This window comes from Homo sapiens, chromosome 10 (genome assembly GCF_000001405.40).
Source record: "Homo sapiens chromosome 10, GRCh38.p14 Primary Assembly".
NCBI lineage: Eukaryota > Metazoa > Chordata > Mammalia > Primates > Hominidae > Homo > Homo sapiens.
Genome location: NC_000010.11, coordinates 131,749,266 through 131,771,842, shown reverse-complemented (window position 1 = coordinate 131,771,842; position 22,577 = coordinate 131,749,266). Strand labels below are relative to the sequence as shown.

The following is a 22,577-nucleotide window of genomic DNA, read 5'->3' as shown; positions in this document are numbered from 1 at the left end:
AACCCGTCTGCCGCTCCACCCACTCTGGTTCTGACTCAGATGGCACCAGTGGCTCCGGCCCAGGGGACGCCCTGCTCTTGGGCCTCACCAAGTAGGTCCAGACCGGCCCCGGCTCTCATGTCACTTCAGCAACACACCTGTCATTGCACCTGTCACTGCACCCATCACCACATCCATCCCAGGGTTTGACCTGCGTTCCTGCAGAGTGGAGCAGGTGGGCGCCTGTGTCCCTGCTCATGTACGTGCCCTCGGGGTCAGGATCTCAGCCCAGAAACAGCCTTCCTGAGACACACGCAGGCCTTCCCAGCTGTCCCAGGCGCTGTCCATGTCAGAACACCCAGGCTGCAGGCCTCTGCCCCTACGGCCCTTGGTTCATTCTTCCAGTTTCTGCAGCTGAGCTCTCCAGGGGCCTGGTGGAGCCACCTGGGGCTACACAGTTCCTCAGATCACACCTGCTCCACGGCAGAGCTCTGGAAGGAGCGAAGGGGCAGAATGACAGCATGGTCCAGCCCTGGTCACAAGTCTCCCTCCACAGCCCGTTCCTCACGCTGCTTAAAGTGGAATTTCCAGATGAGTGCCACACCCAGGCGACATCCAGGTGGGGCCAGCGCTGCTCAGTTCCAGAGCAAGGAGGTGGCGACCTTCCTGCACCGTCACCAGCTCCTGGGCTTCCCGGCAGCGGGAGGGAGACAGGGGGCCCACGGCTTGCAGCTGAACCTCCAGAATTCCAGAAGCCCCAGTGCCAGCTCCAGGGAGAAGCCAGACAGCCTCTAGCTCAGTGACCCTTGAGGCCTTGGGACCCGATAAGCCCCAGCCCCCCATAGACTGCGGCCTCCATGCCAGGTACAGGTGCTTCGGACCCTGCCAAGGAGCTACCTGGAAAGGGTGGTCGGGGGCCCCGCCCCTCTCCTACCTCCTGCCCCACCTCCCCCACACTGCCCCTCCCTGTCCTGCATCTCCCCACTCCTCCCCTCCTCACCCCTCCCCGCCCCACCTCTGTGCTCCCCTGGGCCCAGGTGTCAGCTGTTCGCTGCCCTCCTGCCCTGGTCCCCACGTCACCCCAGAGGCTGGCAGTTTTTCCCTGGGCCAGGAGCCCTCTGCTGGCTTCCCCTCCGGGGAGGTGGAAGGGTGGGCTTCGCACTCATGGGCCTGGCAGCTGAGGCCCCACAGTTTCACTGTCCCCCATCCCCCTTTCCCCATCGTGCCTCATCCAGTTACTCTATCTCCCACTTTTCAGAAACACAGGCCTCTTCTCCCTGCATGCCTTTTAGATGTTGAGTCCTTGGCTTGGCCAGCTTCTAGTATTCAAACCCGTAACAAAGGTTTTCTCCTCTAAAAAGTCTCCTTTGGGACAGCCTCCTCCCTGGGCTTTCACGACTCTGTCTGTGTTCACAACCCTCTTCCATGGCTCAGCCTGCACCTCACGGTGATCTCTCCTCTCCCTGTGAGCTCCTGAGGGCAAGGAGCTGGCCTTGCCAGCCTGGTGCTGAGTGATGGAAAGAGAAAACAATATTATGGGAAACACATTCTAACATTTAAGACGCAAAGCAATGCAGATCCTATTCTCATATGGAGGAGAGAATTGTCCCTTCAAACGCGTGGCAGATGGACTGCGTCAGCAATAACAGAAGGGGGTAAGAATGTTGCCTCTGGAATCCTGTGGATGCCTGCTGCCTTTCCAGGAGCTGCTGGGTCGTCATGTCCCTGGCCCCAGCCCTCAGGCTTTGGGGCCACAAACCCCAGCCGTCTCTGGCTTCCCTCCTAGTCCCTTGCACCACCAGGCTTGGTGTCCCCCAAGGGGCTATTATGGATCAGGCCAGCATCATCAGGGAGACAAAAATTATAAGTGTTACTTTGAGTGAAACGGTAATTTGGGTTTTACAGACAAATCATTCATGTCAGCGGATCAGTGTGTCCATGGAGCAGAGCCCAGCCAGCAGCCTGGCAGGTATCGACCCAGCTGACTTGGCCAGTGGGCGGCGGTGCTAGACGCTCGGTCAGTTCCAATGGATTTTTGGAGAGGAGACCAGGATATTATCATCAACACCAGAAGACTTAGCCCGGGGTGACTTAGTCAACACACCCATAAAAATTCAATGAGGCTTACAGCTGGCTCTAAGTTGAAGTCAATTTTTAATCATGATACTCATACTGGCGCGCTGTAGATGTTATAGCAACGGTTTCATTAATATTAAAAAACCTTTTTCTCCTCTCATTTTTGTGCATGAAAATGAGCCACTTTACACAGGTTCCGGAGCATGTGCCAGGATCGCTTTGGGCCCTCTGGGCCGCCCCGAGGAAGACACAGCCTCTCCCAGGGCGTTTTATGGAAGCCAGGATGGAACTGCCGCAGGTGCGGGCTTCTCATGCCTCCAGTGCATTTGTTACTGGGGTGAGACGAAGTCGCCAATATCCATTTACTTAGAGAGATGAAATGTGTCTAATGAACTTGCTATGTCAGATGGCAGCAATCAACTTGAAACACATTGCAAACCAGCCGGCAAAAGGTTTCACATTTTCACCAGAGAGGCTTCCTCTAGCATCAAATAATATTACCAGAGTAAGTTTTTGTACAAATAGGTTCTACCGTGAGGCTCCGATGATGGTCTCTAAGGGAGAGGTTGTAGAGGAGGTGGGACTGAGCTCATTTACTTCTGTATGGTGTGTCATTTACATATGTGCAGGTCATTACATATGCACAGATCATTACATATGCTTAGCTCCTATGCAAAGCTGAGCCCCCTCAGGGTATTAAGCAGTAGGGAACTATTGATGGGTGCTCACCTCAGCCTTACCTTGTGTGGGGGACTGTCCTTGGCCAAAGGTCTCCTCTGCTTGCCCCCCTCCAGTGAGACTTGAGTGGCTGACCCTGGGCTCAGAGCAGGATTAATGTGGGAGGGACACAGGAATCACTCAATAAGTGCATGTAAAACTGAATTGACTTCAAAAATGAAATTAAACCAGCCCAATCCCAGGACTAGGGTGAGTTTTCATTGATGATCAAGGGTGATCAAGGGTAGTTAAGGGTGGTTAATAATAGTCAAGGTTGTTCAAGGATGGTCCAGAGGGGTCAAAGGTAGTCAAGGGTGGTCAAGGGTAGTTAAGGGCAGTCAAGCGTGGTCAATAATAATAAAGGGTGTTCAAGGGTGGTCTAGAGTGGTCAAGGGTAGTTAAGGGTGGTCAATAATGGTCAAGGGCATTCAAGAGTGGTCTAGAGTGGTCAAGGGTAGTCAAGGGTGGTCAAGATTGGTCAAAGGGACAGGGTCCAGTTAGCAGGAAGGGGTCCTCCCAGCGACTGTGCAGTGCTGTGGAGGGAGGTGGCCTCCAGAGAGCCCCCTCCTATCACCAGGAGTCAGCCAGCAGGGCTGGCGGTCCCCAGTAGGCAGTGGGGACATGGAGGATCCCTGTATATGTGAACAGTTGCAGCATTGGTCTATCACAATGATTTTCTTAAAGAAGAACCAAATACAGTTTGTTTTTTTAAAAAGATGATTTTGATATCAGATGTTGGCTTTTGTCATCTCCAGCGTTGGATATCTTTCTTGCCGTTTAGTATATTTACCAAAAAGTAAGAAGCACGCTAAAGTTAGGATGGAGTGCAGATGGATTTGGGGCACCCTCTATGACTTGAGTCAGAAGAGCTGAGGCTGCACCCCAGGGAGCTCGCCCAAGCTACAGGAGAATTCCAAAGGTAATCTAACCCTTGACAGTCAAAAGAGCTAGGAATGCATTTGCATTTATTTTTTTATTTGGTCACAAGCCTGAGGCCTTCTGAGGGTGGAAGACTGGCAGAGCAGAGCTAGGGGCAAGAGGGAACGTCTGTAATTTACGAGTGACCTTGTTTCTGCCATGTGAAGTGCTGGGCACGAGTTCCGTCAGGGGCCTAAGGCGTGGATCTGAATGAAATCAGATGATTGAAATGACTAATTTCCAGATGAGCACTTTATAATGCTGGAGTGTGAACCTTTAAAAAGACAATAGATTATTGATGGATGGATCCGATGGGACCTGAAGCAAAACAAGGACTTTATTATGACAAGGTCAATAGTAGTGTGCTGTGAAACACATATATGTATATATAGTTCCATACAAATAACGATTGTGTTTGGGGAAGGGCCCACAGCCCATGTATGTAGGGGTTGCACAGCTGCCTTGATCATCAAGATAAAGACAAGGACTTGGATATTTGGCAGGAGGGGCAGGAGAAAGGGGAAGTTGTCTAAATCACATTCCTTCACTAGTGATTCTGAGTGCCATGAGCTAGGAGTGTATTAGAGCCCAATGGAGTAGGTCGAACGTTAGATGAGAGCTGGACAGAAGCAGCGTTTCCAGGCCAGCAGCGTTTTATCTATGATGTTCTAATAGTCACGGCATATTCTAATAGTCTAATAATAATGATGAAACACATGAAAAATAAGCACCTTATGTGCTTACAGGCACTGTCGTGAGAGCTTCACGTATATGAGTTACAGTCACGCCCCACATAAAGGTGCTTCTGTCCCTCGGATGGCATGTACGGTGGGGCTCCCATGAGACCCCAGTGCAGCTGAACTGTTCCTATGACCTCGTGACACTGGGATGCTCCTGACCCTGTGTAGTCTAAACTAATGTGTGTGTTTGTGTCTTCGTTTTAAGCAAAAAAGTTGAAAGAGTAATAAATAAATAAATAAATAAAAGTAGAAGAAAGCTTATAGAATAAGGATATAAAGAAGGCATATTTTTGTACAGCTGTACAATGTGCGTTTTCAGCTAAGTGTTATTACAAAGGAGTAAAAAAGCTTAAAACAATTAAAAGTTTATACATCAAGAAGTGACAGTAAGCTAAGGTTAATTTATTATTGAGGAAAGAAAAAGACTTTAAAATAAATTCAGCAGCACAGTATTTAGAAAGCCTGCTGTGGTGTACAGGAATGTCCTAGGCCTTCCGCATTCATGCACCACACACTCACCGACTCACCCAGAGTGGCTTCCAGTCCTGTGAACTTCATTCATGATAAGTGCCCTATACAGGTCTGACCTTTTAAATTTTGTTTTTTTTTTGAGATAGACTCTGGCTCGGTCACCCAAGCTGGAGTGCAGTGGTGCAATCTTGGCTCACTGCAACCTCCGCCTCATGGACTCAAGCAAATTCTCCTGCCTCAGCCTTCTAAGTAGCTGGGACTACAGGCATGTGCCACCACACCCAGCTAATTTTTGTATTTTTAGTAGAGGTGGGGTTTCACCGTGTTCAGGCTGGTCTCGAACTCCTGACCTCAGGTGATCCACTCGCTTTGGCCTCCCAAAGTGCTGGGATTACAGGCGTAAGCCACCACACCCGAGGTATGCCCTTTTAAAAAAAGGTTTTTAACCTTATTTTAACTGTCCCTTTTCTATATTTAGATATGCTTAAACACACAAACAACACTGCGTTACAATTGCCTACGGTACTCAGTACAGTCCTCTGCTGGACAGGTTTGTTGCTGTTTTAGGAGCTGTGGGCCGTGTCATGCAGGCTGGTGTGCCATGGACCGTGTCGTGCAGGCTGCTGTGTCGTGGACCGCGTCTTGCAGGCTGCTGTGCCGTGGGCTGCGTCGTGCAGGATGCTGTGCCGTGGGCCGTATCGTGCAGGCTGGTGTGCCGTGGGCTGTGTCATGCAGGCTGCTGTGTTGTGGGCCGTGCTGTCCAGGTGTGCACAGGTGCACTCTGCATTGTTCACAAAGCGATGAGGTCACCCAGGGATGCATTTCTTGGAATGTATCCTCATCATTAAGCGACTCATGACTGCACTTTAATCCTCCCCTCAACCGTATGGGGTATGACAGTTTGGTTTAATAGGTGAAGAAACTGAGGTACAGACAGGGTAAGTAACGGGTCCAATGTTGCTCAGCTGTGAGAGGCAGAGCGGGGGTGCGAAATGGCTTCATCATGATCCTGCTGGCCACTGATCGGAGGAGGGCCCTGCCTGCCACCAGGAAGGGTCAAGCCTACCTGAAGGGGGTTGCAAGAGGTAAAAGGGATGTCTGCAAGGTCGATCTTTTTGTGTGGATACTTTCATCATAACTTAGGTTAGAATTCTTACCTGAGGCTGTAAGGCTTGCCTATCAATCCTTCTTCCCACAGCAGGGATGGTAACCGGCTTGAGCGCGAGGCAATGCCTCATTGGTCTTGGTAGCCCAGAATCTGGTGCAGATCCTGCCAGAGAGAGGTGCTCAATAAATGTTAGATGTGTAGTGGGTTCTGAGGACCACTGGAGAGAAGGCATGTCTGGGAACCCGTCCCTCTCGTGGCTCAGACCAAGGTCCTGGCTACTCAATGTCTCTTCCCTGACCATGGCCACAGGTTCCTCCAATTTTATCATTGTTGATTTGGAACTCTGATTCTACTTCTTAATTTAGCAATGCTTCATTACTGTTCCTACAGTCACCACTTTTCTTGTTGAAGCACATCCTTTGGTGGTTCTCTTGTGAGGGTGAGTGGTGGAACTGTCTTCTTTATGCTCCCTATGCTGCAGTGGGTAGGAGGAAAGTTCCATGGTGACCGTTGCTACTTCGATGGGGTCTGCAGCCTGTCCAGCTGCTGTCCCATCACAGGCCCTGCTTGGCTCTTTGGTGGCAGAGCTGATGCCATCTGTCTATGTTCCCTTGACTTCTTTTCTATGCTCCTGCTCTCAAGCTCCCGGCAGGCAGGAACTGAACCTCCTTGCTGGATGGCTGCTGTCAGGTTGCAGGAGCCCGCTCTGCAGCACACAGATGTCCACAAAGGCCTGAGAAGGCATGTGCTGCAGGGGCAGCCCCAGTTAGGACCGCCCAGAGGTGTCACCCGCACTGTCTTCAGAACCATGCGATTTGTCCACATCACACTCCTGCACAGCCTCTGTCCCCTCCTGGACCAGCATTTAATTCTCTCGGGGCCTGCTCCTGCGGAATCCAACCTCAGCCCACAGCTGTAAAATATTTCGTGTACAGCTAACCCTCGGTTTCACTCCTTGTGTTTACCTTTAAATTTATTTTTTATGTAACCTGCTTTCAACTTAGACTTGCATTCCTTCAGTTTTTGAAAAATATTGCCACTATCTGTTCAGATGCTGAGTTTTCATAATTCTCTTCTTCTGGAACTCCTAGTAGGTGAACACTGGATCATTTCGATCTCTCTTCCAAGTTTCTTTCACACTTCTAATTTTACGGTTTTTCTGTACCGTGTTGTGAACGAATTCCTCATCAACATTTTCCAATTCACAAACTCTCCTCTCAACTCTTTCCAGTCTGGGATATATCATATTGGTTGGATTATTTCTTTATTTCAGGAACTGCATTTTGCAATCTCCGAGATTTGTGGTTGGATTTTTTTTTTTCACATTTACCTCTTCTTGTTTTATTTCTGCCTGTTCTGTTTCAAAATTCCTCACTGGGCCTTGACTTATTTCTTTGACATTTACTTACACTTCAGTACAAGCCCTTTGATGCCAGGGCTAGGGTCTGCACGAGACTTCCCCAGTGGTCATCGCCAGCAGCTCCGTGTCGGACTCTGCTGACTGGGGGCACTGGGGAGAGCAGGGGCAGCAAGAGAAGTGAGGGGCTCCCTGCTGTCATTCCGCAGCAGCTGGGATGCCGAGCACTTCCTATTCATCATGATATCTACTGCCTTTCATTTACTCTAAAATTCCATTGCTTATATGATGCACCAGCCATTTGTGTGCTCTTTAGAAAGAAACAATGCTGCCGATTAAACAAGGTCATGTTGTTTATGGAAAGATATGTCCAGACTTCAGAGATGTTGAAATATGAAAAGCTATGGCTAAGATGGTGGGGTTTTAAAGTGTTTGTTAGACAGTTTTCTAACATTTATGTTCAGACTGATGGTTTTGTGTGCTGTCTTCTTCTTTTTGAAGAGAGCCTCATCCTGCCCCTGTTTGCTATGTGTGCACTCCTGCCAGCCCCCGGGATGAGTTCCCTTTCCTCTTCTTTGCACCCTGAGGGGGCAGGGCTGCCACAGCCATTCTGAGGAAGAGGTTTCTGTTGTTCAGAGATGCAGCCTCACTCACCAAGAGTCACATGGGAGTAAAAATGCTTTTGGTTCTCCGCAAGTGTTCTTTTTCTTTTTCCACTTCTTTCTCTCTACTCGTTTGGATGGTAGACATTAAACACCTATTCTTAGCAGATGTCCTAGATATTTTAACATATATATAATTCATCTAGTCCCGGAGTGCCAATGCTTTCATTCTCCTTTTTGAACAACCGTAGATCTTTCAGTGCTGAAATTCTGATCGTCTATTTCTGAACCTCTTGCATCTTTGTCCGGGATTCTTTCCCCACCGACTCCCGCAGAGCAGGCCTTGTTTGTAATGAGTCAATGTTTGTTTCAATGCCATGAGTTCCCACCATCTTCACTCTTCTTGCATCACGGACCTTCCGTCTGAGGTCCTTCCCTTCTGCCCAAACTGCATTCTTTAGAATTTCCTTTGCCTGGGGTCTCTTGGTGTGTGGTAGGCTGCAAAACTGCCCATACATTCTTTCCCTACCAAGCCTGCTTCTCCACCCCTTGGAGCTGGCTTGGAAAGGGGATACTGGCAGATGTGTGTGAGGTGCTTGCCTGTGGCGGTGGAGGGGGGCTTGCTCTCCTCCTGCTTTGGACCCTGGGCCACCTTGTGCATGAACCTGAACAGGAGCGTTCAGGTCCCAGGCAGCAGCGGGTGTGGAAAGGGGGCCATCCTGGGTCACCCAGCAGCTGACCAGATGCCAGCTGACCGCAGGAACAGGGGAGAGCAAAAGTCAGCTTGGCCCCTCCATCCGCAGCCCAGCGAACTCTCAGGAGCAGGTGCAGGGGAGAGCAGAAGTCAGCTTGGCCCCTCTGTCCACAGCCCAGTGAACTCTCAGGAGCATGAGGGTTTACACCGTGAAGCTCTGGGGTGGTTTGTGCTGTAGCAAAGCTAATTTGCATGGTGACAAACTTAGTGCTATCTTCCTGAAATATCTTTGTTTCATCTTCATTCTAGAGACTTCTAGCATTGGTGTAGAATTCTAGGTTGAAAACTATTTGTCTTGGAACTTTGAAGATGTTCAACTGTCTTAACTTGCATTTTGCTATTGAGAAGTCAGCAGTTAATCTGTTTTTCTTTTGTACGCAACAGTCCCTCCCCCGCCACCCCCAGCTATTTCTAGATGCTTTTAAGATTGTTTTCATTGTCTTTGATGTTTTTTAGTTTCAAATAATGCATTTTGGTGTGGATTTTATAATATTCATCCTGCTTGAAAGTTGAGGGGGCGGATTTTAGGATCTGAGGTTTAGTGTCTTTTTGTTTTTCGAACATTATTAGCTGTTATCTCTTTAAATACTGCCTCCTTCTCATTTTTCTCTCTACTCCCTTTTGAAATTCAAATAGATTAATGTGAGACCTAATTCATCTTATCTTCCATGTCTTAATGTTTTCCATCACTTTCATACTTTCCATCTCTTTGTCTCTGGACTGCATCCCTGATAACATCTTCTGACACATCTTACCAAGTTTCTCTCAAACTCCAGCTAGTCTGCTGCTTTTCACTCATATTTTACCAGAAGTTTTATTTTTCAAATATCTTGTTTCTTACTAATACATTTAATCTTCCTTTTGAAACTTCCTTCCAATTTTTAAAACATGTTAAAATGTTAATATTATATTAATGTTATATGTCTGGTGTTTCCAATATCTATGGTCTTACTGAATCTATTTTTGCTTTTCTGTTTTTCCCACTCACTTACACTCATGGCACCTTTGTTCCTTGTGTATGTTGTGTGGGGAACTCATCTTCCTTTGAATTGGGAGTTCTTTGAGACCTGGGTTGAAGTTGAGAGGACTTTTTCTCCATTTCTCCCTCCTTTTCCCTCCCCTCCCATCCCCTCCCCTCCCCTCCCCTTTCCTTTCCTCCCCTCCCCTCCCCTTCTCTCCCCTTCCCTTCCCTTTCCTTCCTCCTTCTTTCCATTTCTTCTTATTCCTCTTCCTCCTTCTTCTTCCTTTCTCTCTCTTTCAACTTTTGAGGTTACTTGGGCCATCTATATCTGGAACTACTTTAAAGTTTATCCTGAGGTTTTCGGGGTCACACAGGGTAGCCTCATTGATCACAAACCTGTTTGAGGACCCATTTGCTGTTACGACTACAAGATGAGATTACGTTTTTCCCTTTACATAATTCCAGGGTTGAGACAGGTAAATTTTCTTTCTGCCCCCTTCTGAGTGATCGGTTTATTTGTTGTTCACTCTTACACTGGGCATAGCCCACAGATGGTCCCAGATTCATCTAGGGGTCTCCTGTGTTTCCCTGCTGTGGGTGAGTGCTGGGCCCCATCTTCTTCTCCCCACAGTGCTCGGGGGCTCTGAGGTGTGGCGTGTACCTGTGGGGTAAGTGCTGTTGGCTGGGTGCACCCCCAGGCTCTGCTTTCACCTCCCTTTCAGGGCCTGTCCAGGCATTGCCACTGTGCTGGCCCATGGATTTGAAATAGGTTCAAAATATCTCACCTTTTCTCTGTTTCGGTGTTTCTCTGTTCGGTGTTTCTCTGTTTCGGTGTTTCTCTGTTTGGTGTTTCTCTGTTTCGGTGTTTCTCTGTTTCAGTGTTTCAGTGTTTTGGTGTTTCTCTGTTCGATGTTTCTCTGTTTCGGTGTTTCAGTGTTTTGGTGTTTCTCTGTTTGGTGTTTTGGTGTTTCAGTGTTTCTCTGTTTCGGTGTTTCAGTGTTTCGGTGTTTCTCTGTTCAGTGTTTTGGTGTTTCAGTGCTTCAGTGCTTCTCTGTTTCGGTGGTGGGTGCCAGGATGCTGCTGAAGGATAAGCTGTCCTCAGGGTCTCAGCATCAGGTTTCCTCTCAGCTGGAGTCTTATTGTTTGCAGACTCATTGTCAGTGGGAGGAGTTTTGCTCTGTTTTGTTTTGTTGTTAGTCCGTTTCTCTTTCTTGCCCTCCCTCCATTCCTGCTGCACTTCTTTCTAGCGGCTTTGCAGTTGCCTCCTGCCTAAAGGCCCTGTCTCATGGCAGTGGTTGGGCTTCTGTCCCACTGGAGCATGGGGTGTCTCCCAGATGGAGCCATGGTTGTCAGGGGATTGACTCACTACTGAACCCTGAGGTTCAGGGCCTCCTGCCTACCCTGGCTTGTGGGTTCAGGGTGCTGAAGTCCTCATGGAGGTCTGGCAGCTTTATTGGGGGGGCAGGGTCCCTTCATGCTGGGCACCTGGCTGGGGTTCCTCCACCCTGTATGGGCAGTTTCAGTCTCTCCACCGTTCAGAAGCAGCCCGCTGGCCCTGCTGCCCATTACCAGACCTGAGGTCCACAGGCCGGGGTCTTTGGCCACCCGTAGTGCTGTGCTTGTCATTAGCGGACACCAGGCTACATCCTTCATGGCTTTTTTCAGCGCCTGCCATGTGTCTGGAGCAGAGAAGAAAATGAAGTGTGAATGCCCTGCCCCCTCCTGACCACAAGTTCAAGATGTAACTTTGAAGCCTATACTCTGGTAGCGATTATTTTGTGGACAGAATAATCTCCCAATTAAAAAGTGACAAGTTTTCTTTATGTGGGTTCATTTCTTCCTGAAGAGACATCCTGCAATTGATAACGTGAGCTTGCAATGTCTGTGCAAGTCCTGGTTGTCTCACCTGATAGCTGTAATCACCAGCCATCACGTGGCTCCTCTGAGCCTTTATCCTCATTGGTACAACTCTGCAAATTCATCTCATGGATGACTATTTCCCAAGCATCTCTACATGCCAGGCTCCGACATGCAGGCAGGAGAATGCCCCAAAGATGTCCCCATTGAATGCCCCAGGGCCTGGGGGTATGAGGGTTACATGATCAAGGAGAGTTACAGCTGCTCACTGCTGACCTGCGTGTGGGGAGAGCCTCCTGGTTACCCAGGGAAGCTGATGTCTTCGCAGGGCCCATGAACACAGAAGAGGGAGGCAGGAGAGGAGGCCAGAGCCAGTGGAGGCCAGAGTGGTGCTGCACCGCCAGCTCTGAGACGGCCTAGGGGCCACCAGCCAGGGAAGGCAGATGCCCACGGAAGCCGGAAAGGGTGAGGAAGCGGATGTGTCCTGGAGCCTCGGAAAGGAACACAGCTTTTCTGAGACCCTGATTTTAGTCCAGTGAGGTCCAGGCCAGGTGTGGGATCTCCAGAGCTGTTGGATGGTAACTGTGCTGCTAGAGCCTCCCCGTTTGTGAGGATTTGTCACAGCGGCTGTAAGGTACGAATACAGCCATACACGGTGACTGGCTTGGGAAGTGATTCCCTGTCAGGGCAGAGGGCGTCTAACACCCTGATGTCCTGACCAGGTTAAGGGCCTTGGGCTTCCTCCCGCAGCCTCCGGTCTCCGGGTCCTACCACCAGCCACGCAGCGACTACTAAGGGGAGCACAGATGCCTGGTCCCAGCCAGACAGTAATTGATAGGCAGCCGCAGGGACCACTTCTGATTCATTCACGTTGAAAAATACCCTAGGTGTATTTTTATGGTGCCGTGCGGGGTGGTGAGACTTTGCGGCCATGGTTTTCCCACAGATTTTTCAGGGAGGATTCTCCGCAGCCGCTTGCTTCGAATGCTTTTGACAGGGCAGCTGCCATTCACAGCCCTGTGGTCTCAACACTGATGACTTTGGATTTCACTGAGGGCAGGGAGCCACTTGTCCCTCTTCAGTAGAGGGATGTGGACTTAAAGATGGCCCTGCAGGTCAGCGCAGGGCGAGCCAGCTGCTGAGGGAAGCTGGGCATGTCCCAGTTAAGCAGAGAGGGCTGGCGCTGGCTGTGGGGCTCCTGAAGTCCGGCCGCCTCTTTCCTGGATGGGAGTCTCCAGGGCTGGGGGAGGGTGGGCGGGAGCAAAGCCACCTGCGCACTGAAGGTGACCCTGACGTGGGGCCCCTGGGTCACGGCTCCTCTGAGGCCTCTTCCTGTGAAATGGAAGCAGCACCCCAGCCTTGTTTCTTTTGTTTTGTTGCCTTGTGATTTCTTTTCATGCCCCAGCAGGCAAGCCGAGGCCTCATTCTTTCCATACGTCCCTCTCTGCTCTCCGGGGCCAGGGCTGGGCCTCCGGAAGCAGCATGTCCCTTTTGCTCTGTGGAGGAGCAGGTGCTGGCCACTCTGCTCATGTGTTCCGCTCCAGGGAGAATCTCATCTGCTCTGTGGGCTCCTGGGAGGCCACCTGGGTGGAGCTTGTTGGGTACACAGCCCTGGGGTTGTTGTGGAGCTGACAGCCTTCCTGGGTGGAAAGACTGGCTCCCTGGAGTGAGGGGAGGAAGCCAAGGGGCTGACCAGGGCTTGGGCCTCTGCCCATCGGCCTGTGTGGGGAGGGAGCTCCCTCTTAGCTCCCTCATGGGCTCCGCTGGCCCCAGCAGGCTGGTTTCTCATGACTCTCATGTCAACCCCTTGTCCTCCAAAGTCTTACACATACGCACACACGTGCATTCACACACACGCACATGCATACACACACGCATGCACACACACGCACACAAGCAGACTTGCACACACATGCATACATGCATGCACACACACATGCACATGCACACACATGCACACACGCAGACATGCACACACATTCACACATGCAGACATGCACACACATGCACATGCACTCACATGCACACATACGCACACACATACACATGCAGACATGCACACACATGCACATGCACACATACACACATATGCACATGCATGCACACATATGCACACATGCACATGTGCGCACACACATATACACATGCACACAGCACACTCATGCCCAAATACACCCTCACACACTCTCATAGTCACACACACGCACTCGTGTTCATGCCCAGGGTGCGGAGCTGTTCCCTGGGAAGCTGTTCCCGCTCTCTATGAGATTGTGATGGGGATGCAGGCACAGCTGGTGATGTCTCACACCCTCCTCAGTGGAGCTCCCAGGCTGGGGGGTTCCCAGGGGCTCTTCCTTTGCTCCGGGTTCCAGTGAGTGCTCGTGTGGAGCTGCTGTTCTGTGTGCTTGAGCTGCGGATATCGAGTGGAATGTGTGACGTTGCCGCTCCTTCTCACCCTGAGTGCCTGCAAGCACCCAATCAGCCGTGTTATTGACCGGGCATTCAGCGCTGTGCAGTTCCCCGAAAAACACACAAGGCAGAGTAGAGAAGGCCTTGGTGTCCTACGGGCTTAGAACTTTTAGCTTTTTAATATATTGTTGGGAAAAATGGCAAGACTTTGACATGCAGGAATAGCGGTCACCACACGTCTGGTCTACCACACCCTGTGCCGCCTGATTCTGGAGGGGCCAGTGTCTTTCACTGTCTGTGGGCTATTTCATTTTATTTTATGGCATAGAAACTTACAGGCATGTAAATGACTGTGGCCCGTAGAACTGCAAATACATTTTATCCGGGTCATACAGTTGACCTTGGACAATGACCAGTTTTTGATTTACTCACACACTATGTCATCATCCCTGGTTGCCTGTGTGTGGGTAGAGATGTTTAATTCTTTTTTTAACCAATTGTAATAATTTATGATTTCTTCACTTGTTAATAAGTTAAATAAAATCTCTGCCACGTGTTTTTATGTAACCATTTTATGAACGTCGTATCCTTTAAGGACATGCAAGTGAGAATGTTGTTGTTTTTGTGATTCATCGTCCCCCTCAAAGAAATGTAAACTGTTAACTAAGTGTTCTGAGAAGGACTCACAAGTGGCACCTGTCCTGTACGGCCACCCCCATTTCTTAAATGCACATGATCGGTCTTTAGCATGTACTATCCAAGGGAAGATCAGGGATAACATGATAAACAGAAAAAAAAATAAATTAAAAAGCTGACTACTTCCCCAGTGCTCGTAGCAGGTGTCTGAATGATTCTAGTGCCCATACATAAAAGTTAGACCTCCATGTGGGTTTAACATGGCAGCCTGTTGGTGTTTCTTCCTTTTCTTTGTTGCATTAGAAGAATAGAATTAAACAGTTTCCTCCCCTTGCTGTGTCTTTGGAGGACCAAGCACTTCCAGGCCTCGGGGAAGGGTCCTCTGCCTGGGTTCAGAGCTCTGGGCTGGTTGCACCATCACGGCTGGTGGTGAACGGGGAGCAGAGCCTTTCCTTTGTGTGGGGGAATAAAGAGAAGATAAAGCAGGAGACTTGAGAGGATGAGGAAAGAAGGCATGGGGAGAGGTTTCCAGAAGAAGCTACAGAAGCAGAAGCTGATCCCGGGGAACTCTGCCTGACATGTTGGGAAGACCCTGGGCATGGTGGGGAAGTGGGAGCCGGCCGTCACCACCTCAGGCCTCAGAGACAGTTTTCCTTCTGGGGACTTTCCTCAGCCAGTGCCCGCCCCTCACGTGTACGTGTGACTGCCTCAGACTTTGCTGGGTGGTCCTAGCCACCCCACACTGTGCCATATGAGCCCCTCCCTGATGAGATTCCAGAATCCCCTGGCTCCAGGCAGGTGGTGGCGAGGAGCCGCTGCAGAAGGGGTCAGCTCAGAGCTCCTGGGCTGAAACAGTAGTTAGCAGGACCAGCTACGGAATTTGCACAGCTCAGTGCAAAATGAAAATGGGAGGCCCCTTTGTTTCCAGACCACACTAAAGGTCGGGCTGCTATTTCTATTTCTCATGGCCCAATAATGAGACGCAGAAAAACTGAGGAGGAAGAGGGTGTTTATTTCTGCAACCGGTTACAGGGAGAAGGCCTGGAAATTATCGCCAGACTAACTCAAAATTACAAAGTCTTCCAGAGCTTATGTACCTTCTAAGCTCTATGTCTACATGTAAGTGTACATTCGTCTACAGACATAAGTGATTAACTTCTTCTAATCTATAACTGACGTCTGAGTCCTGAAGACCTTCTTCTGGAGCCTCAGTAAGTTTACTTCATCTAGATGGGTCCAGGTGCAGGGGTGATGCCAACGTCCTAGTGCCAACGTCCCTCCTGGAGTTCTGGTGAGGTTCATATGCTGGTGTACGAATTCCTCTCTGTCCTCTAAAAAAGAGGCAGTATTATTAGCTATGTGGTAATTAACTTCAAGCATACTTATGCATAAAAATTACAATGCCTGTGTAAGTCTATTCTTGTCTCCTGTGAGATCACAGAGGTTTGGGGATTTCCTTCAGATCCCCAATCAACTTGTTTGTGGAGGTCTGGAGAGTTTCTTCAGACCCACAATAAAACTTATTTAATCCTAAATGGGTTCTGTTAAAAATTTCTTTGTCATTTTGTCATCCTTTAAAGTCCAGGAAAGGCCTAGCCTTTGTATAAGGGCACTGGCTTTTAATATTTAACTTAACCACTCAGTCAGTACTAAAACAGTTGTTAGTGAGACCTGGCCTGCCACACGTTGCGAAAACAAAACAAAACAAAACAAAAAAACAACACATTAAAACACAAAACAAAATAAAACACAAAAACAAAAATAAAAAACCATTGAGACTTTGAAGACAGCAATGACAGAGGCTAAGACCAGGCCTTGCCTTCCTAGTGCCAGGCCCCTTGCATGGATCCAACCCTGGTGACTAATGACAATGTCCCTCCTGGAGTTCGGGTGAGGTTCATATGCTGGTGTACGAATTCCTCTCCGTCCCCTGAGAAAGAGGCAGTATTATTACCTATGTGGTAATTAACTTCAAACATACTTATGCATAAAAATTGCAATGCTTGTGTAAGTTAACCATAATCTACATCTTAGGAGCTGCTTGAAATCTTCTATCATGGATCCACACTGTGCAGGTGGTTACTTAGCACTTTCAATGTCATTATCGAAATCTATACCAGAGGGTTTAATTCTGGTGCAGATACCAGATGTTAGAAATTGTTTTTCACTGGTAAACTGAGGATTATTCAATATAAGCAGAGGCTTAGAAAGATTGTTCAGGCCCAGCCAGTCCCTGGAAGCAGCTGGAGTTTCAAGAGCCCAGCACCCTGATACCTTTAGTGCATTCCTTGGGGCCTAGAACCCGTGAGTCCTGCCCACCTCTCCCCTGCGATGCAGGGAGAACCTGTGAGTCCTGCCCACCTCTCCCCTGCACTGCAGGGAGAACCCGTGAGTCCTGCCCACCTCTCCCCTGTGACGCAGGGAGGACCCGTGAGTCCTGCCCACCTCTCCCCTGTGACGCAGGGAGGACCCGTGAGTCCTGCCCACCTCTCCCCTGCACTGCAGGGAGAACCCGTGAGTCCTGCCCACCTCTCCCCTGTGATGCAGGGAGAACCCGTGAGTCCTGCCCACCTCTCCCCTGCGATGCAGGGAGAACCCGTGAGTCCTGCCCACCTCTCCCCTGCGATGCAGGGAGAACCCGTGAGTCCTGCCCACCTCTCCCCTGCGCTGCAGGCAGAACCCGTGAGTCCTGCCCACCTCTCCCCTGCGCTGCAGGCAGAACCCGTGAGTCCTGCCCACCTCTCCCCTGTGCTGCAGGGAAAACCCGTGAGTCCTGCCCACCTCTCCCCTGCACTGCAGGCAGAACCCGTGAGTCCTGCCCACCTCTCCCCTGCGCTGCGAGGAGAACCCATGAGTCCTGGCCACCTCTCCCCTGCACTGCAGGGAGAACCTGTGAGTCCTGGCCACCTCTCCCCTGCACTGCAGGCAGAACCCGTGAGTCCTGCCCACCTCTCCCCTGCGCTGCAGGCAGGATTCTGAGACTTGACTCGTGCGTGTTTGGTGCTTGCCGCCGGAACATCACTGCAGTGGCCTCAGAGTCAAGTTTTCAGGCGAAGCACTTTTCGGAATTCCTGAGGGCTGACAGCGGGGCTACCCCTGGCCACAAGAACAGGATTTTGTGCATACTTGGAAACATTTAGCAAAATCTGGTCTAAGACTTGTTTCATTGTGCCATTCCCCTTGTCACTGATAAGAAGGGGACTACAGCTCCCACCTGCCTCTAACCACTGGGACCTTCAGATAGTTACCAAAAGAGCCTGACCAGCCAAACTGGCCTATGCCAAATTAAAGTGGTGTGTTGATTGAGCATTGAATTTAAAAAAGTATCAAAAGTTCTGTAGGGTCAGGGAAAGGTGCTATGCTCATAATCCACTTGTATCCAGCATTTGTATTGTATTCTATAATTTTAAAAGTATTTCATCTATTCGGTGTTGATGTAAAACAAATTAGCATGCATGCTTGTAAGAAGTTGTCACTGACTGCAGAACAATTTTGCATTAAGTAAAATACGAGTCACAAATCTCAATGTGTGAACAAGTTAAGGAGAACTGAGAAGCAGTTTTTTGAATTTTGCTTTGACTTCAGAACACTCAATTTTCAATTTGCATCTGAAGCCATAGGAGAGATGACACCAGGTCAGTGGGTTCTGAGGCATCCTTGGCTGTATCTTTGCCGGGGAGGAAGGAGCACTTCCCAAGGCCAGTGGCCCAGGTGTGGCTACTCGTGGGGCCTCCACACTGCTCTGTCTGGTCCACAACACAGCTGCTCCAACATCCTTGAGCTCGTAAGTATCACGTCGTCACCTGAGGTCACGGAAGTTCATGAATAATCTTTTTAAAAGCCAAAATCATAAGTCGAATATAAAATAAATTCATGCCAAAGATTTTCATTTAACTCATTGGTTAACAAGGAACCAGTAATATAAAAACCAGTTTCAGTGAGACCCGGAGGAAGATACTGTATATACAATCGGGAATGTGGAAATGAATTTGCTGCTAGATACAAAGCTGTATCTTGTAGAACAACAATGTAATGCTTGCAAACGCTTTTCTGTAGGGCAGGAATCAATTGTATCTCTATGGGTCTACACTTCAGCTGCATCTCCATGCAAGAGTCCTCTGCGGCACCATCATCAGCCTTCTCCAGGCAAATGTCTATTTTTACTGAGGTGCAAAACAGCCCAGCCAAAGACAACCTGGAAGTGTTCAATGCCTTCTGCTACATTGAAAGCACACACAGTAACCTTTCTGACCATATCAAAGCTTTTCCTGATGTGAATTGTGTGTAAAAACTGTGGATTATGGTCTTAAGCTATGCATAAGGCCAAGAGAAAGACCGGAAATGAAACAGAAGACAGACGGATAAACAGCAGAGACAGAGCACCAGCAAAGACAGAAAGCCCCGGAGCCCCTTTGAAATGATCAAGGAAAGACAGAGAGACTTGGAGAACAACTCCCAGGACAGGTCCCCTTTGCCTGGTCGCTCCTCCTTGGAGGAAGTGGTGAGTTCTCTGTGGAGCCGCATTCCACATCACGTTTTCTCCTTGGGCTTCTAAAATGAGAACTCTTTAATGGGTCTTGACGGTTTTCAGCAAAGGTCAACAAACTTTTTCTTCAAATTCCTGAGAATAAATACCGGAGGCTTTGCAGGCCACTTGGTCTCTGCTGTGGCAGCTCCACTCTGCCTGCAGCATGAAAGCCGCTCCGTCGGTGGAAAACCCATCGGCTGTGGCCCTGCTCCCAGGAAAGCTGACTCACCCCCCCTGAAATTTAACTTTCAAGTGTCATGAAATAGTTTTCCTCTTTTGATTTTTTTCCCACTATTTAACGTGTAAAAACCATTCCTAGCTGTGAGTCATATGAAAACAGGAGGCAGGTGGGGCCCAGGTAAGCTGCAGACTCCCCGGGCAGACGTTCAAGCTCTTGTCCACTGCAGTGAGCGGGAGAAACCCACTGAAGGGGGCTTCTGGGGTGACTCCTCTGTGGTTCCTCGACATGTGCTCCCACCTCCAGCCCCAGCCCCACAGCTCCCCCGGCCTCTGAGGCTGCCAGCCCAAAGTGCCCCACCCTGAGGCCCCGTAACCCTGAGCTTTGAGAGCCCACTGGCCAGCACCTGGGCACTCACATCCTGTGTTCTGAGCTCCTGTCTGTCACCTGGACCTGGACTGTCGGGTAGGGGAATGCGACCGCAGATGCTCCACCTCCCCCCGCAGCGCCTGTGCTCCTACCTGCTTCCTTTGCTTCTTGATATGGAGGGCGGGGCCTCCTGCAGTTCCCCCAGGCCCCTGGATGTGGTGATTCCAGCTCTGTTGGTCCCTGCTATGGGATTTGCACCATTGGTGGAGACCAGGGAGGCCTCGCTGCCCAGGGTCAGCACCCTAGCAAGCAGGGCACGTGTGACCACAGCCCCGCTGTCTGCAGCTGAGAACCCAGAGCCCCGTGGGGCTGGGTTGGCCCCAGAGGTCAGAAGCAGAGGCTCTGGGAGGATTTTCTGGCTCTGTGTGACTCCTTTGTCTTTTCTGGTGTGTTGGAGTCACGCTGTCTGTCTGAACAGCTTGGGGCACCCAGGGTAAGTGAATGTGGGAAGAAAAGGGCATGGTGGGGGAGGGCCAGAGGGAGAGCAGCCTCCTGGAGGGGGACAGGCTGACATCAAAGGCAGTAGGGGCTCACCCCAGCCCCTGGGGTCCTGCATATGTCAGCCAGCCTGGAGCCGGGAGGCCAGAGGTCAGGTGGGAGAGGGTGGAAAGGTGCTCCACGGGCAGCTCCGGTCCCTAGGCCCCAGTGGGAGGCTGAGGAAGGTCAGAGGCTGTGCGTGTGGCAACAGCTAGGGAGTGGACAGAAACCCTGGAATTGCCTGAGGATTGTAAAATCATTTCATAAACCTTTACATACTGGATGATGCTGTTTTTCCTGTTTCATGTGCTTTAGTGAATAAGTATTTGGAAGGAAATGTATGGGCCTGCAGCGCCTTGCTCCTGAACTGTTTGTGCTTCACTGACAGACGGTGCAGCTTTGGTGGAAGGAGACCAGGCAGGCCTCGGGGAGGGGCTGCAGCCGGGTCCCGGGGGGTGAGCCCACTTCAGCTTTCCATCCTGAGGCTCCAGGGACAGGGAGGAGGCCACTGCCGAGCAGGCCAGAGAGGGCGGCGGCGTCAGGATGGCGCAGGTTGGCTGGGACTCTTGGCTACAGGTGCTGGTTGGGACTCTTGGCTACAGGTGCTAGAAACCAAACCAGCTAAAGCAAAATAAGCCATGTATTATAAGGACGCTTTATTTATTATAAGAGAGGTCTCAAGAATGTAGGATAGGAATGAAGTTGACCTCAAGACAGTGGGATCCGCGACCTAGATGTTCCCTCTCCATCCTCTTGATCCTGGAATCCGGGACCGAGAGGCCCTCTCTCCGTCCTCTTGACCGGCCTCCTCTGTGGCCAGCCTCCTGTGGCTGCATGGCAGGGGCCGAGTGCTGCAACCAGGCACAGAGCCAGCCTCGGGGCCCCAGACTTCCTGGACACAGGCTGTGTCCCACCAGCTGTCTGCTTCTGGCCCAGTGCGCTGAGGGGCAGATTCTGCTGCCACCTTGGTGGTCCCTCTAGTGGGAGGGTCGGTGTCCGTGGTGTGTGCCCCTGCCCTGGTGGGGCACTCGCTGCACAATTGCAGGGCTGCTCCCTCCCCAGTGAAGCAGAATGAGGGATCCTCTGGGATCTCTGCTCAATCTCTTTCCACACAAGGTCAAACCACAGCTTCAACAGGGATTTCTTTGGTTCCACCAGAATTCCTCACCGGACAGAGCCGCTGTGCACAGGCACACGGAGGGCAGGTGGGGCAGCCCAGGTGCAGGCCGTGGGAGGCACACTGTCTGCAGGGAGGTCTCTCAGCATTGACCCAGCTGGCTGCAAGGCGCTCTCCATGCGCAGGCGACTCTCAACACGTGGCCGCCCTCTTCCCCAGCCCCCTGTCGTGCCTCAGCTCCAGGCTGGGGAGCCGTTGGGAGGTATTTATATATTTTTTTGAGGAGATGATGACCAGACTGAGTAAGTCAAAGAAAATCGTGTGCCCTCCTTACAGAATCTGGTGTGTGTGTGTGTTAGAGGGAGAAAGGGAAAGAGAGCGGCTGAGGGGAAAAGGCCGGGTGTCCACTTTCAAGGAGGGTGGCCAGAGCTCTGAGTTACCAAGTGGCTCCCCAGTATAATGCCATTATGTGCCCAGGCCCCATGGAGTCCCATCCCAGCTTTCCCAGGACCCTGTGGGTGGCAGCGCCAGGCTGTGAACGTGAGACCAGGCCCACAGCCAGGCAAGCTGCCACTCTGGAACCCAGAGCCCTGCTGGAAAGGCTGGTGAGCGGCCCATCCTCAAGAGTGGATGCCCAGCTGTGGGGAGGTGGTGGCAGGTGGCCACTTCCCACTTGGCAGGGACGTTCTCCTCTAACACGCACGCAGGGTTTGTGTGCGCAGAGCAGGCTGCTCTGATTGCTCTGATGAGGAGGGGATACAGAACACAAGCCTGACTCGAAGGCTGTGGGACGTGCCCCCATGCTGGCCCCTCCCCAGCAGGCGCCCACCTCCTCCCCAGGCCTGGCGGCAGACGAGCTGGTCTTCCGTGCGATGCTGAGGCAGAGCCGGGGGCACGTTCACCTACGGGCGGGGCTGTGTTGCCCGTGGCTGCTCCCGGAGGAGGAAGCCCAGGGGACTCGTGACACTCTGAGTGCTTTCCCTGCGGGTCGACGGCCAGGCCACCTGGAGCCAGAGGCCCTTCCTCCCTCGTGGCTGCCTCTTTTTCCTTCTCCTGCTGTCCCTGGGTCCAGGTGATGGCCTGGGGAGCTGTGGGACACTCTTGTGCTAACACTGCTCTGCATGCTGCTCTGCGTGTTGCTCTGCATGCTGCTCTGTGTGTTGCTCTGCATGCTGCCCTGCGTGTTGCTCTGCATGCTGCTCTGCGTGTTGCTCTGCATGCTGCTCTGCATGCTGCTCTGCGTGCCCTCCGAAGCTTGGAGCT

The 22,577-nt window shown here is 50.9% G+C and overlaps 4 annotated features.

Annotated features, from left to right (window-relative positions):
- Nucleotides 1,215-1,714: an enhancer, noted in NCBI's record as "H3K4me1 hESC enhancer chr10:133602465-133602964 (GRCh37/hg19 assembly coordinates)". NCBI's record gives its function as "activates a minimal SCP1, AML or CMV promoter by ChIP-STARR-seq in naive H9 embryonic stem cells {active_cell/tissue: H9 hESC(naive)}" and the evidence as "EXISTENCE:reporter gene assay evidence [ECO:0000049][PMID:30033119]".
- Nucleotides 14,746-15,246: an enhancer, noted in NCBI's record as "H3K4me1 hESC enhancer chr10:133588933-133589433 (GRCh37/hg19 assembly coordinates)". NCBI's record gives its function as "activates a minimal SCP1, AML or CMV promoter by ChIP-STARR-seq in primed H9 embryonic stem cells {active_cell/tissue: H9 hESC(primed)}" and the evidence as "EXISTENCE:reporter gene assay evidence [ECO:0000049][PMID:30033119]".
- Nucleotides 15,247-15,747: an enhancer, noted in NCBI's record as "H3K4me1 hESC enhancer chr10:133588432-133588932 (GRCh37/hg19 assembly coordinates)". NCBI's record gives its function as "activates a minimal SCP1, AML or CMV promoter by ChIP-STARR-seq in primed H9 embryonic stem cells {active_cell/tissue: H9 hESC(primed)}" and the evidence as "EXISTENCE:reporter gene assay evidence [ECO:0000049][PMID:30033119]".
- Nucleotides 18,659-19,858: an enhancer, noted in NCBI's record as "BRD4-independent group 4 enhancer chr10:133584321-133585520 (GRCh37/hg19 assembly coordinates)". NCBI's record gives its function as "activates an origin of replication core promoter dependent on BRD2, P300/CBP, MED14 and CDK7 cofactors, and independent of BRD4, by STARR-seq in HCT116 cells {active_cell/tissue: HCT116}" and the evidence as "EXISTENCE:reporter gene assay evidence [ECO:0000049][PMID:35650434]".